This window comes from Homo sapiens, chromosome 16, assembly GCF_000001405.40.
Source record: "Homo sapiens chromosome 16, GRCh38.p14 Primary Assembly".
NCBI lineage: Eukaryota > Metazoa > Chordata > Mammalia > Primates > Hominidae > Homo > Homo sapiens.
In genome coordinates, this window is record NC_000016.10 from 22188310 (window position 1) to 22205368 (window position 17059).

Sequence of the window (17059 nt, forward strand, 5' to 3'; positions counted from 1 at the left end):
AGAATGGGCCACAGAAAGAAGTAGTCACCTATGGCTTCTCCTTTGAGCCATCCGGATCAGTGGAGGAGAGAATAAGATGATACTGACAATCTCTTGAGTTGTGACAGTATGCCAGGCACTGTGCTTTATCTCATTTAACTGAGTTGTAGACAACATTGTCCTCTCCATTTAGAGAGGAGGAAATGAGACACACAGTGAAATAACCTGCCCGTGATCACTCACTTAAATGGTAGAGCTGGGATTTGAACCCAGACCTCAGTGATTTCAAGCTTAACCATTAGCTTGTGAAAATGCATCAGGAATCACATCCACATAAAATAGCTGCCAGGGTGCAGCTGAATTGTGGTCAGGCAGGGACTTGGCTCCTCTCCCTCTTGTTTAACTTGGGGATTTCCTTGTTCAGCTCAGGGGCAATGTCCTTAACTGTGGAAGTTCCTTGGCTGTGGCTCGGGTACCCTCTGCTGGTCAATCTGTGACACATCAACCAGCCCTCCAGTTTGACTTTATAGCCTTTTATGCATTTAACATAAATGTTACCAGGCACTGTGCTGAGCAACGGAGGCAAGAAGACATAGTCCTTGCCCTTAGGGAGCTCCTAGTTCAAAGGGGAAGACAGCCCACTAACCAGGCAACTCAACACTGTAATTAGAGCCATTCTTGGGAAAATCGCGAGAAACTCCAGTGCACACAGAAGGGGCGCCTCAGCCAACTCTGAGGAAGTCAGAGAAAGCTTCCCAGAGGTGACATCTAGAGACATCTAGGTGTATTAGGGACCCTGCTTATCTAGCGTAACTCAACTCCTGTGCTCCCCAAAGCCCTGCACTTACTGACTAGGAAAAAAAGGGACAAATACTGGCCTCTCTCCTCACCCCCCATTAAGCATCCAAGACCACAGGTTTGACCCCAGGGGCTGTTTCAATGCCATGGGAGAATCCAGCAGCTGGTGGATTCTTCCCCAGGGTCCGGCTGAGGAAAAAGAGAGGAAGAAATGAGTCAGGTGGGAGAACATCTCCAGGTGCCAGCACAGCAGAGAAGAAATTAGGCTAGAACCTGGCTCCCCTGTGCGACCCCAGGCAAGTCACTCAACCTCTCTGACCTTTTTCCAAGTATGCACAGAACAGATAGTGCTAGTACCACCTGAGAGGATTAAATGAGGTAGGGCATAGAAAGGATTTAGTCCAGGCCAAATGCAGGGTGTGTGTTCCTTAACTGCTGATAGCTATCATTACTACCCTTCAAACCAGTGGGCCCCAAGCCATCTGGCAGCAGGGGAAACACAGCTTAGACCCTGGAGAGCAATCAGTTCTGCATAATCGAATTCCTCTCTTAGGGAAGCTTAGTTAATAAGCGAGGGCATGAAGGCTGCGACTGGGGCCCTCCTGGTCACAGTTGGTCTGGGGTTGGGGGCAGGAAGCCAAGGTCGTTTCCTGCAGATGTTTCTGGCAGGCGTTCACCTTCTCCTAGCGGATGCCTAAGAATGTATCAAGGGCCTCCTGAGTCCCAGCACCGTGCTAGGCCGGGAAGATGAGTGTAGGGGTGAGACCTTTGCTTCTTAGGGACCAAGGAGTTAAATAGGGTGCGAATTCAGCGGGGCTGGAGGGGGCGACGCAAAGGCGGCACCCTCCAATAAAAATGAACATGTAAGGAAGAAAGGAAGACCTCTCTAATGAGGGCATCGCAGGAGCAAGACGCTGCACTCGGGTCCTTTTAAATCACTATGTAATGGAGGGGAAATCCCTGCCCTCTCTTTTCCCTTTCCGTAAACAACGAAGTAGAGGATGTCCTCCTCCCACGAGGCCCGCCCTCGGATGCCCCGCCTGTCCCCGCAGGTGCGCAGCGTGGCCGTGACGCACACCTTCCAGATAGCCAAGGCCCGCGCCCAGCTCGGCTACGCGCCGGATAAGTTTAGGTTCGCCGACGCCGTGGAGCTATACGTGCAGTCCACGACCCGGCGGCCCCGCGGCTCCACGGCGCGGACCCTCCTGCGCCTGCTGCTCAGGCTGCTGCTGTTCCTCGGCTTGCTCGCCCTGGCCCTGCACTTCCTAGGCCTGCAGCCTCTGCACGCCGCCGTGGAGCGCCTGTGACCGTCCGCCGTCCGCCGCCCGCTAGGGTCGGCCCCGCTGCACCCTCGCCCACGCCCGGCTCCCTGGGCTTGTACCAGCCCCTGCCCCGCCTTCTGGGTTTGAGCGCGCCTCCGCTCCGCCCCTTGAATCCTGGTCACGCCCCCGAGCCGCTCTCCAGACCTAGCCCGGACCGCCGACTTCTGGCCACGCCCCTATCTACTCCCAGACCTTGCCTTGCGCCCTTCCTGTGTTTTGGCCCCGCCCCTGTCCTGTCCCGCCCCGCCCTCCGAAGTGGGCACGCTCCTGCTCCGCCCCCTGAATCCTGGCCACGTCCCTGGTCGGCCCAGACGCGTAGCCCCGAGTCTCTTTCCATGTTTTGACCACGCCCTTGACCCGCCCTTCAAATTGGGCACGCCTTCTTCCCCGCTCACTGATTTCCTGGCCTAGCCCCTGAGCAGACCTCCAGACCTAGCCCCGCCCCCGTTTTATAACCCCGCCCCTGCTTCACGGCTTGGGCACGCCTCTTCCCCGCCCCCTGACTTCAGAGCCTAGTCCTGAGCCGCTCTCCAGGCCTAACCCCGCCTTCATGTCATAGCCACGCCCCTTCCCGCCCTTCCATGTTTGGGCACGCCTTCTGAGTCCTGGTCACGCCTCTGTCCCGCCCCCTGAATCTTTCCTACGTCCATGACCCTCCCTCCAGGCCCTGGCCCTGCCCCTTTTTTCCTCCCTCCGGCCTGTCCGGTTTCTGATATGGGCCAAGGCTCACAGCTTCCTCCGCCTTCTGGACCTTCTCCTAGTCCCTGCCCAGTCCCGGCCCACCCCCAGATTCTCCCTCATTCTGGTTTCGCCCCCTTTCTGGTCCTCCCCGCGCGCTTGAGCCCACCCTTTGGCTTCTCCTTTTGGGTCTGTCCTTGCTCCTGCCTCTGGACCCGGTCCCGCCCTTCTCGCGTGTAATTGAGTCCTGGCCCCGCCCCCTCCCTCTCTGGCTTCACCCCTTTCCAGCTCCGCCTCCCGGGTAGGTTCTCCCCGGAACCAGGCTGCCGCGTCGCTATGGGCTAACGCAGGCTCGGGTGACGTTGGTATGAGTTTGCGCCGTCGGCTGCTGCTCTGTCTGGTAACATTGCATTCGATCCACCCCGACCCAATGTTCTGGGCTTCTCATTCACACAGATCTGTGTGTTGACAGCCAGGGTTTGGGGAAAAACCGAGACTCAAGCTTCTGCCGAGCCCGACTTGGCCTTTTTGGGTTCCTGTCTGAGGATGACAGCATAGTAAGCACAGGTTTTAGTACCAGAAAGAGCATGAAAAATTTAAAAAAAAAAACTCTTAAAATAATTGGATGTCTCGATGAAGTACCAATAAAGCTATAATGGGAAAAATAGAGTTTAGTTGGTTATATTTTATGATTTAGTACTGTTTCTATTTATTAATTAGAGGTAGTGGTAATCACCATAATCTTTAAAGTTTAAGGTCACGAAACTTCTTTATCTAGCCCTGCTCTCCACAGAAACTTCGCCTCCTATCATCTTGGTATCAGTTATCAGTTGTAAGTACCAAGACATCAGTGTGTAAATACAACCATGTATAGATCATAATATGCACACGTGGGACTGGCAGAGAAGAAAAGCACCACAAGCCTGAGGTGGATGGGATCGAAAGGGCTCATCAGAACCAACATGGCCACCGCAGTGTGTGTCCCACTCTGCTGAACAAGGTGAGCAGTTTGGGAAGGAGCTAAAAAAAAATGTATGCTCCTCTCTGCTAGGCTGAATTTTATGTGTGTATATAATTTTTGAAAGAATAATAATCCTATGTCTGTTTAATGCTTGACAGTGTAAAAGAGCTTTCATCTATGTGATCTTATTTAATTCTTACAGCTACTCTTAAATAGGGTTTATTACTCTCCTTTTATAGATGACGAAAACTGGGGCTTTGTCTCATTCCAAAGAGCAGAGGAGGGTGGGGGTTTCTGCTCTACAGCTGGGGGAATTTGGAGGAGCACCGCCTAAGCCGCCACTGGCCTAAACACAACACGTGGTAACTTCTACTCTTCTACACTCTGGCCATGCCAAGGCTTGCGGTTGAACTCTGGTCTCGTTCTCTCAGAGCCGCAAACCTCGGACCATTTGAAGCTGGCGGTCCTGGGGCTTCCTTTCCTCTCGATAACATGTTTACATCCAAACTCACTTCCTTCCTCTCTTTCTTCTCCCTGCTAATCCTGGGAAATCTGTTCTTCGAGCAGGAAAAACAATCTCACACTGCTCACGTTATTTTCTAGATCTTTTGACTAGTGCCAAACCTACTTTTGAAAATCCAAAAGCCAAGAATCAATTTATTTGTTTTCTGGATTTCTCCAACTCATCTATTTCCTAACACTCTGGAAGCAGAATGTGTAAACCCTGGGCATGGGGACAACATGGATCGCTATGTCAAAAAAGCTTTTTTCCTTTCAAGCATCTTTATCCAATGGAAAAGGAGGTGGCATCCCCACCCAACAGGAAAACTGAATCACTGTAAGAATTTTTGAGACTGCCCAGACCACTAGCCTCCATGAGGTTCTGAAAGGGCAAGTAGGAGGTTCTAGCTTACTTGGAGACGCTAAAGAGAAGCATCGCAAATGCAGAAAACAGAATTGTCACAGTGGGCAGCCCAAGGTGACATAGTCGATCTGAAGGGATTATCAAGACAAACTCATAGGCTTTCCATTATGGGTGCTGAAGCTATTCCCAGTTGTAAACCCAATGCCAGGCATCTAAAACATCCTCAAGTCTCTCTCATCTTGAAAATATCTTCCCAGCAGGGCACAGTGGCTCACACCTGTAATCCCAACATTTTGGGAGGCTAAGGCTGGAGGATTGCTTGAGGTCGGGAGTTCAAAACCACCCTGGGCGATTTGGTGAGAACCCTGCTTCTACATAAAAAAAAATTTTTTTTAATTAGCCAGGTGTGGTGGCACCCAGGAGGCTGAGGCAAGAGAATCACTTGAGTCCAGGAGTTTGAGTCTGCAGTAAGCTATGATTGCACCACTACACTCCAGCCTGGGCAACAGGGTGAGACCCCATCTTTAAAATTTAAAAAAATCCTCCTTTGATTCCCCCATTTTCCCTCCCACAACTGTTCCTTTTGCTCCTCCTTTTCAAAATCAAATTTTGTGATGAATTGACCATACTTATGTTTCCATTTCTTCTCCTCAACCCATTCCAAAATGGCTTTCAGATCATCAATGATCTTGTCCATAAATCTTAATAGATATTTTTCCGTCTTTATTTTGCCAATTATCTTAGCTGTGTTCAGCATAGTTGACTGCCCCCTCCTTCTTGATCCGCATTTCTTGGTCTCTATGAAACCACACCTGTTTTCCACGTATATTGCTGGCCAGTCCTTTCCCGTCTCTTTCGCATCTCTTTCACTGGCTTTTCTTCCACTGCCCTCCCTTTAAGATGATGTCTCTCGGGTCTCTGTCTTGGCCCCTCTTCTCCCTCTGTGGGATCTTTCTGGATGAGTTCATCCCTTCCCATGGCCTCAGTCTCTAATACCTCCCAAATCTGTATCATTTCCTTGGAGTGCTCTCTTGACCTCCAGAAATCTATGTCCAACCTCCTACTCAACCCCATATCCCACAAGAATCTCCAGCTCAATGAAAATCAAACTGAAGTCATCATCTCCCACAAACCTGCTTTCCATCTATCTTGTGTTCCCTCCCAGGAGAGGAGAGGCACCACCAGCCATCCAATGACCCAAGCCCAAATCCTGGGCGTCACTTTTGACGTGATCCTCTTCTTCTCGACATGCTCATCTGTGGATTCTGTCAAATCTATCTCTAAAATGTCTCCCTGACTCACTCCTTCTGTCCCGCACCCGGCCACTATTGTGGTACAAACCACTGTCCTTTCTCCTAGACAATTGCAATAGGCATTGAATGGGACCTCCTGTCCCTGCTGCCAGCGGGAACTTTCTTTTCTTTCTTTGTTTCTTTGTTTCTTTCTCTTTTTTTTGACACGGAGTTTCACTCAATCGCCCAGACTGGAGTGCAGTGGTGCGATCTCGGCTCACTGCAACCTCCGCCTCCCAGGTTCAAGCAATTCTCCTGTCTCAGCCTCCCAAATAGCTGGGATTACAGGTGCGTACCACCATGCCCAGCTAAATTTTGTATTTTTGGTAGAGACGGGGTTTCACCGTGTTGGCCAGGCTGGTCTCAAACTCCTAACCTCAGGTGACCCACCCGCCTCAGCCTCCCAAAGTGCTGGAATTACAGGTGTGAGCCACCGTGCCCAACCAGTGAACTTTCTAAATTCCAAATTGGAACATGCCACTCTCTAGCTCAAAAGCCTTCCATGGTTTCCCATTGCCCTTGGGAAGGGACCAAGTTCAAAGCCTTAACTCGGCATTCATGGCCCTCTTTGCCTGTCTCTTCGCCTCACCTATTGCCAATACTCCACCTCCACTCTCTGTGCAGCTGCCCTGAATTACCTTCACAGCGTCTCAGCCTTACCAGGCTCTTTAGGAGTTCCCTCTTGGAAATCCCCTCCCACGCCTTCACTTGGCTAATCTCAATTTCAGGCCCCAGCTAAATGTCACTTCCTTGCTTCTCAGGGGCCAGGTTAGCATGCTGTACTGCCTAACACTCCTCACAGGTGTAATTAATTAAAATGACAATGTCTGCAAAGTCGATGGGTTCAAAAACATGCCTGCCTTGTACACCACCACAGCCTCAGGACGAGCACGGTTTCTGGCACATAGTAGGCCCTTCATAAACAGCTCAACAACTGTTTATAAATGAAGGCCCCTAAATCAAGCCTGAAAACCAAGTAAGAGGTGAATCAATGAAGCAGAGACCTCAAGGTTGGCACCCCCACATAGGGCCAGACCCCTACTACTCCAGGGTCACCTGACAACAGAGGTTTATGGGGTCCCTGGAGCCCTCTAAAGTACACGGAGCAGGCCAGAAAGGGACCCCCGTCCCTAACTCAGGTCATGATTACAACCACCCCCAACTAACCCCAGGAAGACCCAGACAGGCTGTTGGGAACTTTTCAAGCTAGCTCAGATGCTTTCCCCTGGAAATGGGGAGATGTGTTTTGTTTTTTTGTTTTGTTTTGAGGGAGCTGGATGGGTAGGTGAAAGAGAGGTTTGTGTATTGGGCTAGACAGTGAAAGAGCCTGCACTGCAGTTTCTGCCTTTTCTCTTCCCTTCCCCCTTCCATTAAAAAAAATCCATTATAAGCAATCTAAAGCTTTAAAAAAGAAATACATCAGAAAGGAGAAAAAAGGAAGAGAAGTTGGCAAAGGACTACATAAAGAGATGGTTTATGGATAGAAAAGTGAGACCTTCTGAGGTGTGGCAGCGGTGGGATTCGAACCCACGCCATCGAAATGACTGGAGCCTAAATCCAGCGCCTTAGACCACTCGGCCACGCTACCTCCCGATCGTAGGGCTTCCTATGCCGGCATATTAGTGTGATGACGGAGGCGCCCCGCCCTCAAAGTTTGCGCATGCTCAATATAGAACCGCTGTCTCCTGCGTTGCTCACGGAGACTTGGAGTCACAGTGCTCTCGCGATCAGCAGCAGTAAACACACTAGGAACGCACTATTAAAATGAAGAGTGCCTACATATCAAAAATTAATATTTTTAATATTAAATCCTCACAAGTGTGTTTGGATTTGATTTTGAGTTTTCCTTGGGCGTGATCCTGCCTACAGCCACGTAGGGGCGCTCCCGTGCTGCCGCTTCCTCCCGGGTGGGCCGGGATCTTGCGTGGAGCCCCAGTTTGTATGTTGGGTCCCCAAGGTGCAGACGCTCTGTCCAGTTCAAGGCCCCTCTGTAGCCCTGAGTGGCCTCATGTCCTAGCCCTTGCCCTCGCGATGTAAGAATCAAGAGTTCAGGGAGGAAAACCATTGAACGTTGTTGCAGATTCTTTGCATGTGTGGGCTCCTAACATATCAAAAACTATTAAGCTTTCATAAGCTGTGCGACCCATTTTACAGAGGAGGAAAATAGAGATGCTAAGTAACTAGCCTCGGGTGCCCCAGCCAGCCGGCATTCCACAGCCTCCCAAGACGTTTGTTCGTACGTGCAGAGGATTTTAGTGCTTTTAGAAAAAAAAAAAAAAAGCAATAAATATAGAGTATAACCTAGCAAAATTCCATTTCCTATCATCTCGAATTATTACTAACATTTTGCATATTCGCTTCAATTTTTTTTTTTTTTTTTTTCCTGAGACTGAGTTTCGCTCCTGTTGCCCAGGCTGGAGTGCAATGGCGCGATCTCGGCTCACTGCAACCTCCATCTTCCAGGTTCAAGCGATTCTCCTGTCTCAGCCTCCCAAGTAGCTGGGATTACAGTCGCATGCCACCAACGCCCGGCTAATTTTTGCATTTTTAGTAGAGACGGGGTTTCATCATATTGGTCAGGCTGGTCTCGAACTCCTGACCTCAGGTGATCCGCCCGCCTCGGCCTCCCAAAGGGCTGGGATTACAGACGTGAGCCACCGCGCCTGGCCTGAAATTGTTTAAATTAAAATTAAAATTAACACTCTAGATAAAATTCAAGTCTCCTTTGATGTCCCCAAGTTCTATTCCCCCTTCCTTCTCTTTCAGGAGTTTCCCATCTTTTCAGTATGCATTTTCCTAATTTCACAATCACATAGGGTTGTCTATTTCCTTGCACGTTTAAGGAAAATGGCAAACAAAAATCCAAGGTTGTAGAGACAGTTGGGTAAGTGGGAGTGGCAGTCTGTATAATGACCCCTAAAGATGCCCACACTTGAACGTGTAAATATGTTACCTTCCGTGGCAAAAGGGACTTTTGCAGTTGTGATTAAATTAAGGATCTTCTGATGGGGAGAGGAGCCTGGATTATCCAGGTGGTCCCAATATAATCACAAAAGTCCTTATAAGAAAGAAACAGGTAGCCAGGCGCGATGGCTCATGCCTGTAATCCCAGCACTTTGGGAGGTTGAGGTGGGCAAATTGCTGGAGGTCAGGAGTTCGAGGCCAGCCTGGCCAACGTGGTGAAATGTCATCTCTACTAAAAATACAAAAAATTAGCCAGGCATGGTGGCATGTGCCTGTAATCCCAGCTATTCGGGAGGCTGAGGCAGGAGAAGCACCTGAACCCAGGAGGCGGAGGTTGCAGTGAGCTGAGATCGCGCAACCGCACTCCAGCCTGAGCGACAGAGCGAGATTCCATCTCAGAAAAGAAAAAGAAAGAGGCAGGAATTCAAGGAGGTATGAGGGTGAAAACAGAGGTCCCAGTGATGTAGCCACAAGCTACAGAATGTCGGCAGTCTCTAGAGGCTGGAAAAGGTAAGGAAATTGATTCACCCCTAGAGGCACCAAAAAGGGAACACAAGGTGTCTGACACCTTGATGTTAGCGTTTCCGACTTCCAGAACAGTACCACTATAAATCTGTGTTGCTTTAAGCCACTAAATTTGTGTTAATTTGTTACAGCAGCAATAAGAAACTAATCAAGTGGGTAAACCCATGGGCTTGGGAATGACACAGTCTAAACTCCCATGAGCTGTGTGATCTTGGAAAAGTCACTTCTCTCTGGGCCTCAGTTGCTCATCCCTGTAATGGAGTGATAATGATAGTATCTACCCCACAGGATTTGCTGTGAGGATTAAACTCATTCATTCTGCAAATGTTTCATGAGCACCTACAATGTGTCAGGCACTGCTCCGGTTATATCAGAGGATAAAGTCAATACAGATTAAATGTGGTAATTTGGCCAGGTATGGTGGCTCACGCCAGTAATCCCATCCCTTTGGGAGGTTGAGGTGGGAGGATTGCTTGAGGCCAGGAGTTTGAGGCTACAGTGAGCTATGATCATACCACTGCACTCTAGCCTGGGTGACAGAGAGAGATCTTGTGTCTAAACATGTGCCAAGCATTTAGATGAATCTCTGGCACATATGAGAAGGGTGACGGTGATGACTTTGTTCTCTCCTGGTATCTCAAGGGTTCCCACCACAAGGGTTCTTTTTGGTTTTTGTTTTCTTCTGTTTTGTTTTGTTTTGTTTTAAGACAGAGTTTCGTTCTTGTCGCCCAGGCTGGAGTGCAATGGCATGATCTTGGCTTACTGCAACCTCCGCCTCCCAGGTTCAAGCAATTCTCATGCCTCAGCCTCCCGAGTAGCTGGGATGACAGGCACCCGTCACCAAGCCCAGCTAATTGTTTTTGTTTTTTTGTATTTTCAGTAGAGACGGGGTTTTGCCATGTTGGCCAGGCTGGTCTCAAACTCCTTGACCTCAGGTGACCCACCGGCCTCAGCCTCCCAAAGTGCTGGGATTACAGGAGTGAGCCACCGTGGCCCAGCCACCACAAGGGTTCTTATACAGGCACTGGCCACTTGGTGGTATTCCACACACATCTCTCCAAACACCCTGTTTCAAGTAGGGGGTCTCTCCCAGGATGATACTGGGCCCTGCTAGGAGGTCAACTCCAGGAAGGCAGGTGATGGTGTCTTGTTCATCCACTGCTGTATCCTCAGGACCTAGAACACTGTTGGCAGCAGGAATATTCCTTGAAAAAAAATAGTTTTGCATTCTTGGTTAAGTCCACTCCATCTTGCCACATGAACTTAAGAGTCAGAGACAGATGCTTTCAGCTGGAGCTGCCCAATATAAGGGCTCAGAGAACTTTTGTCTGGACTTGAGTTTCAGCGAGGAACACCCATTACTTTTGCAAAAGTTATTTTGTGACTTGTGACTTGCCCTCTGTGGCCACAAGAAGGAAGCAGCGTCCTCTTTAGGTAAATTCCCCTACAATTGCTCAAAGCATCTTCTGGCAGTTAGTCCATCTGCCAACAGCATCATGTCCCCTAACTCTGTCTCTGATCATTTAATGCAAGTCAATACCTGTCCTGCACCTACTAGGCCTCATCAGGCAAAAAGCAGGCCTTGCGGGCTCGGGGAGGGGGATGAGAGCTGTTTCTGGAGTTGCTTAGAACCCTTGTGCTGGAGTTGCTTCTGTAACAGAATAAAAATCCAGTGGTGGAGCCAGACGCGGTGGCTCATGCCTGTGATCCCAGCACTTTGGGAGGCCGAGGCGGGCAGATCACCTGAGGTCAGGAGTTTGAGACCAGCCTGTCAACATGGTGAAACTCCGTCTCCACTAAAAATACAAAAATTAGCCGGGCGTGGTGGCACACTCCTGTAATCCCAGCTACTCAAGAGCCTGAGGCAGGAGAATCACTTGAACCCAGGAGGCGGAGGTTGCGGTGAGCAGAGATCGTGCCACTGCACTCCAGCCTGGGCACAAAGCAAGACTCCATTTAAAAAATAAAATAAAATCCAGTGTTGGACGCAAGGCCGCCAGTTCCTCTGCTCCACCCTGCATTTCTCCAGGCCCCGTCGCCCTGCTGGCCTCCCACAGTCCTGCTGACGAGGCGTCTCTGGTGATTCATGCCTTCAAGGGTGACGCTGCCAGGGCAGCTCATATGCAAAGCCCATGCAAAGCCCAGCCACAGCCAGGCAAGGGTGGGGAGGCCACAGGCGCCAGAGCAGCCGGGCTATGTTTGGTTTTTTATTTTTTATTTTTCTATGTGACATTTAAAAATAACTTTTGCAAAAGTAACCCATTTTCCTTGTTGAAACTCAAGCGAAGAAAGGAAAAGCACAAATAAAAAAATATCTTTTCATGTCTCCACCCAGTTAAACTCTGTCAATACTTTGGTAAGGGACCTGGGTTTTGTCTTTTTAAAATTTGTAATATAGGCCGGGCACGGTGGCTCACGCCTATAGTCCCAGCAATTTGGGAGGCCGAGGCTGGTGGATCACCTGAGGTCAGGAGTTCGAGACCAGGCTGACCAACAAGGTGAAACCCTGTCTCTACTAAAAATACAAAAATTAGCCAGGTATGGTGGCAGGCACCTGTAGCCCCAGCTACTCGGAAGGCTAAGGCAGGAGAATTGCTTGAGCCTGGGAGGCAGAGGTTGCAGCGAGCTGAGACTGCGCCACTGCACTCCAGCCTGGGCGACAGAGTGAGACTCTGTCTCAAAAAAAAAAGAAAAAAAATTGTAATGTAATGCATGCTCGTTGTACATTTTTTTTTAATGTCAAATCAAAAGAATAAGATAAAAAAAAGAAAAAAGTCAAATCACAGGCATCAAGTTAACAGGGAAATTCTCTCCCTCACCACAGCCCTCCTTCACAACCGAATCCCACAGCTCAGAAGTAACCATTATGAAGAGTACCAGTTTGGGCTGGGCACAGTGGCTCACGCCTGTGATCCCAGCACTTTGGGAAGCTGAGGCAGGCGGATCACCTGAGGTCACTGAGGTCAGGAGTTTGAGACCAGACTGGCCAACATGGCAAAACCCCATCTCTATTAAAAATACAAAAATTAGCTGGGCATGGTGGCGCCCTCCTGTAGTTCCAGCTTCTTGGGAGGCTGAGGCAGGAGAATCGCTTGAATCCAGGAGGCGGAGGTTACAGTGAGCCAAGATCATGCCACTGACCTCCAGCCTGGGTGACAGAGCCAGATTGTCTCAAAAAAAAAAAAAAAAAAGAAAAAGAAAAGAAAAAGAGAAAAAGCCGGGCATGGTGGCTCACACCTGTAATCCCAGCACTTTGGGAGGCTGAGGCAGGCAGATCACTTGAGGTCAGGAGTTTGAGACCAGCCTGACCAACATGGTGAAACCCCATCTCTACTACAATACAAAAATTAGCTGGGTGTAGTGGCGGACGCCTGTAATCTCAGATACTTGGGAGGTTGAGGCGGGAGAATTGCTTGAACCCTGGAGGCAGATGTTGCAGTAGGCTGAAACTGCGCCACTGCATTCCAGCCTGGGCAACAAGAGTGAAACTCCATCTTAAAGAAAAAAAAAGAAGAAAGAAAGTACTTTCCAGATCTTTTCCTGTGCAAATATATAGGTGAATGAAAACTCGAAGCCCTGATGTGTCCCACTCTCATCCTGGGGCTGGCTTTACACAGGGTAGGAGAGGAACATGCGATCTAAAAGAAGAGTGGGGGTCGAGTGTGGTGGCTCATGCCTATAATCCCCGGCACTTTGGGAGGCCAAGGCAGGTAGATCACCTGAAGCAGGAGTTCAAGACCAGCCTGGCCAACATGGTAAAACCCCGTCTATACTAAAAATACCAAAAATTAGCTGCGCTTGGTGGCAGGTGCCTGTAACCCAGCTACTTGGAAGGCTGAGGCAGGAGAATTGCTTGAACCTGAGAGGTGGAGGCTGCAGTGAACCAAGATTGTGCCACTGCACTCCAGCCTGGGTGACAGAGCAAGACTCTGTCTCAAAACAAATACACAAATAAATTAACTAAATTAAATAAATACAAGACGAGTGGTGTCTCATCACTTCCTTAAGTCTTTCAGTAGCTACAGGTGGGCCATCCAGATGGCTCTGTGTTGGGCATTTCTCATACCTAGTAGGCCCAGGACCTCTGAGCCAAAGAGGTGAAACACACAACCCAAGCCCACTGTGCACAGGGAATTTGGGCAGTTAACAGTTTGGAAACCAGACCCTTCCTGTGGTGCCTGCGGCCAGTGCAGCTCTTCAGCCCCACCCTGAGCAGATGGGAGGATTACACCTGTCTTGTTGCAGTTGGGAACAGCCACGTGACTGTGACTGTAAGACCTGGGGCTCTATCACCATGGTGAGATGGAAACACCATGAGTCTTTTTTGTTTTGTTTTGTGACAGCTTTATTGCTGTTATAATTGCTGATATAATTCACACACTTTTTTTTTTTTTTTTTTGAGACAGAGTCTTGCTCTGTCACCCAGGCTGGAGTGCAGTGGTATGATCTCAGCTCACTGCAACCTCCACCTCCCAAGTTCAAGCGAGTCTCTTGCCTCAGCCTCCCAAGTAGCTGGGACTACAGGCATCCACCACCACACCTGGCTAATTTTTGTATTTTTAGCAGAGACGGGGTTTTGCCATGTTGCCCAGACTAGTCTACAACTCCTGGGCTCAAGTGATCCACCTACCTCGGCGTCCCAAAGTGCTGGGATTACAGGTGTGAGCTACCGCGCCTGGCCCATACACCCATTAAAAAAGTATAATTCAGTGGTTTTTAGTGTATTCACAGAATTGTGCAACCATCAGCACAATCAATTTTAGGACATTTTCATCACCCCAAAGAAGAAACCCTACAACTATTAATAGTCACTCCCCCTCTCCCCAAGCTCCCTTCCCAGCCCCTGGCAACCACTAATCTACTTCTCTCTTTATGGATCGATTGTCCTATTCACTGATATAAATGAAATCACATAGTATGTTGTCTTTTGTGTCTGGCTCTTTTCACATAGCATATTTTTTAAGGTTCGTCCGTGTTGTAGCATGTATCAGCACTTCATTCCTTTTTGTTGCCAAATAGTATTTCATTGTATGAATCTACTGCCTTCTTTTCTTTTTTGAGATGGAGTCTCGCTCTGTCGCCCAGGCTGGAGTGCAGTGGTGTGACCTCGGCTCACTGCAACCTCTGCCTCCCAGGTTCAAGTGATTCTCCTGCCTCAGCCTCCCGAGTAGCTGGGATTTCAGGCACATGCCATCACACCTGGCTAATTTTTGTATTTTTAATAGAGACGGAGTTTCACCACGTTGTTGCCAGGAGTTCAAGACCAGCCTGGCCTCAAGTGATCCGCCCGCCTCGGCCTCTCAAAGTGCTGGGATTACAGGCATAAGCCACCGCCTGGCCTACTGCATTTTAATTATGCATTCATCAGTCATTTGGATTGTTTTCACCTTTTGCCTATTATGAATAATATTCCCATGAACATTTTGTATAAGTTTTTGTGTGGACATATGTTTTCATTTCTGCTAGGATTTGAATTGCTGGGTTATACGGTAACTTCATGTTTAATTTTTTTTAAGAATTGCCAAACTGCTTTCCATTCCTACCAGCAGTGTATGAGGGTTCTAGTTTCTCCACATCCTTGCCAACACTTGCTATTATCTGAGATTTTGATTATAGTCATGCTAGTGGGTAGTGGGTGTGTTTTGACTTGCTTTTTTTGGTCACCCACGCTGGAGTGCAGTGGTGCAATCATAGCTCACGGCAGCCTCCAACTCCTGGGCTCAAGCTATCCTCCCACCTCAGCCTGTCGAGTAGCTGGGACTACAGGCACACATCACCGAGCCTGGCTAATTTTTCTATTTTGTTTTTTTGTAGAGATGAGGGTCTTGTTATGTTGCCTTTGCTGATCTGGAGCTCTTGGGCTCACACCATCATCCCACCTTGGCCTCCCAAAGTGCTAGGATTACAGGCATGAGCCACCATGCCTGGCCTTGCATTTTCTTAGTGGCTAATGACGTTGAGCACCTTTTCATGTCCTTATTGGCCATTTGTATATCTTCTTTGGAGAAATGTCTATTCCAATCTTTGGCCCATGTTTAAATTGGAGTATTTATCTTTTATTATTGAGTTGTAACAATTCTTTATATATTCTAGCTGCAAATCCCTTATCAGATATGATTTGCAAATATTTTTTCCCCATTCTCTGATTGTCTTTTCACTTTCTTTTTTGTTTGTGGTTTGTTTTTGTTATTGTATTTTGAGAGAAGGTCTTACTCTGTCCCTCAGGCTAGAGTGTAGTGGCGGGATCTTGGCTCACTGCAAACTCTGCCTCCCAGGTCCAAGTGTTCTTCCCACCTCAGCCTCCTGAGTAGCTGGGACCATAGATGCAAGCCACCACATCTGGCTAATTTTTGTATTTTTTTATAAAGATGAGGTTTCGCTATGTTGCCCAGGCTGGTCTCAAATTCCTGAGCTCCAGCAATCTGCCTGCCTCCCAAAGTATTGTGATCACAGGCATGAGCCACTGAGCCTGGCCTTTTTCATTTATTTATTTAATTTTTACAGACAGGGTCTCACTCTGTTGCCCAGGCTGAAGTGCACTGCATGATCATAGCTCACTGCAGTTTCAAACTGCTGGGCCCAAGGGATCCTCCTGCCTCAGCCTCCTGAGTATCTGAGACTACAGGCACACACCACCATACCTGGGTTTTTTTTTTTTTTAATGTTTTATTTTAGAGACAGGGGTCTTGCTATGTTGCCCAGGATGGTTTTGAACTCCTGGCCCCATTGATCCTCCTGCCTTGGCCTCCCAAAGCTCTGACATTACATGTGTGAGCCACCTTGCCCGGCCTTGAGTAATTTTATTTTACCGCAGTAGACATCTCCTTGAAGGCAAATGTTTCCCCCAATTCCTAGCACCATATTTGGCACACAATAGGAGCTTAATAAAATTTGCCATAAGAATTAATGCTCAGAAACTCTACTATTACATCCTATCTGCTCAACTCCCTGGAAAAGAGACATTCTCTTTTTATGGTTACTATAAAAGGCCCAGATTAGTATTTCACTGGCCTAACTTGGATCACATGCTCATCCCTGAACCAATCAATGAGGCTGAAGGGATGAAATATGCTAATTGGCCAGGTCTGGTCATGTGTCCATTTTTGGAGCCAGGGGAGTGGGGAGGGCTATTTTCCTGAACTGAAATAGGGTGAACTGGTTCCCTGAAGACTAACCAAGACGCTAATGCAAAGAAGGACACTCCTGCTGGGCAGACAAAAATGACAGAGGCTCAGAGAAGTAAAATAACTTGCCCAAGGGCCATAGAGCTTTAAGCAGTAGCGTCTTTTTTTTTTTTCCAATCTTGCTTTGGGCTTGGACAGACTAGTTCAGCATCTTTGATCTTCCCTTCCTGCCTGACGGCCCCAGGGTCAGAATTCCAGGTGCAATTTTGTCTTGCCAAAAGCTGGAGTTTACTCTCTTTGGGGTTTATAAATAAGGAAAAAAGTTCTTTGGAGAGCCTGAACTTTGAAATCAGAGAAGTCTGGATTTACTGCTGGCTCTGCCTTTTCTAGCTGCCTCACCTGGGGCATGTCATTATCTCTATAAGCCTCAGTTTTGTTCTTTTTTCTTTTTTATTTTTTTGTTTTTGTTTTTTTGCGACGGAGTCTCATTCCTTCACCCAGGCTGGAGTGTAGTGGCGCGATCTCGGCTCACTGCAACCTCTGCCTCCAGG

The 17059-nt window shown here is 48.5% G+C and overlaps 1 protein-coding gene and 1 non-coding gene across 5 annotated transcripts in view, besides 8 other annotated features; one reads left to right on the forward strand and one right to left on the reverse strand.

Moving 5' to 3' along the window:
- The window catches only part of SDR42E2 (short chain dehydrogenase/reductase family 42E, member 2), a 29246-nt gene extending 25804 nt beyond the window's left edge, over nucleotides 1-3442 (forward strand). For 3 of the 4 annotated variants that reach the window (NM_001394319.2, NM_001365288.2, XM_017023977.2), the window contains one exon: nucleotides 1830-3442. In NM_001394319.2, coding sequence (NP_001381248.1) covers nucleotides 1830-2084 — 255 coding nt within the window. In that variant the 3' untranslated portion in view covers nucleotides 2085-3442. Of the gene's footprint in view, nucleotides 1-959; nucleotides 1157-1829 lie in introns of those variants that run through there. The other variant, XM_017023978.3, reaches the window with a different exon arrangement.
- Nucleotides 1828-1917: a silencer, noted in NCBI's record as "silent region_7260". NCBI's record gives its function as "represses an Ori minimal core promoter by ATAC-STARR-seq in GM12878 lymphoblastoid cells {active_cell/tissue: GM12878}" and the evidence as "EXISTENCE:reporter gene assay evidence [ECO:0000049][PMID:35858748]".
- Nucleotides 2003-2502: an enhancer, noted in NCBI's record as "H3K4me1 hESC enhancer chr16:22201633-22202132 (GRCh37/hg19 assembly coordinates)". NCBI's record gives its function as "activates a minimal SCP1, AML or CMV promoter by ChIP-STARR-seq in naive H9 embryonic stem cells {active_cell/tissue: H9 hESC(naive)}" and the evidence as "EXISTENCE:reporter gene assay evidence [ECO:0000049][PMID:30033119]".
- Nucleotides 2008-2057: a silencer, noted in NCBI's record as "silent region_7261". NCBI's record gives its function as "represses an Ori minimal core promoter by ATAC-STARR-seq in GM12878 lymphoblastoid cells {active_cell/tissue: GM12878}" and the evidence as "EXISTENCE:reporter gene assay evidence [ECO:0000049][PMID:35858748]".
- Nucleotides 2198-2297: a silencer, noted in NCBI's record as "silent region_7262". NCBI's record gives its function as "represses an Ori minimal core promoter by ATAC-STARR-seq in GM12878 lymphoblastoid cells {active_cell/tissue: GM12878}" and the evidence as "EXISTENCE:reporter gene assay evidence [ECO:0000049][PMID:35858748]".
- Nucleotides 2758-2837: an enhancer, noted in NCBI's record as "active region_10567". NCBI's record gives its function as "activates an Ori minimal core promoter by ATAC-STARR-seq in GM12878 lymphoblastoid cells {active_cell/tissue: GM12878}" and the evidence as "EXISTENCE:reporter gene assay evidence [ECO:0000049][PMID:35858748]".
- Nucleotides 3338-3397: an enhancer, noted in NCBI's record as "active region_10568". NCBI's record gives its function as "activates an Ori minimal core promoter by ATAC-STARR-seq in GM12878 lymphoblastoid cells {active_cell/tissue: GM12878}" and the evidence as "EXISTENCE:reporter gene assay evidence [ECO:0000049][PMID:35858748]".
- Nucleotides 6989-7118: an enhancer, noted in NCBI's record as "active region_10569". NCBI's record gives its function as "activates an Ori minimal core promoter by ATAC-STARR-seq in GM12878 lymphoblastoid cells {active_cell/tissue: GM12878}" and the evidence as "EXISTENCE:reporter gene assay evidence [ECO:0000049][PMID:35858748]".
- Nucleotides 7402-7483, reverse strand: TRL-TAG3-1 (tRNA-Leu (anticodon TAG) 3-1). Its single transcript has one exon. It is a non-coding gene; the product is annotated as a tRNA-Leu (tRNA).
- Nucleotides 7869-7948: a silencer, noted in NCBI's record as "silent region_7263". NCBI's record gives its function as "represses an Ori minimal core promoter by ATAC-STARR-seq in GM12878 lymphoblastoid cells {active_cell/tissue: GM12878}" and the evidence as "EXISTENCE:reporter gene assay evidence [ECO:0000049][PMID:35858748]".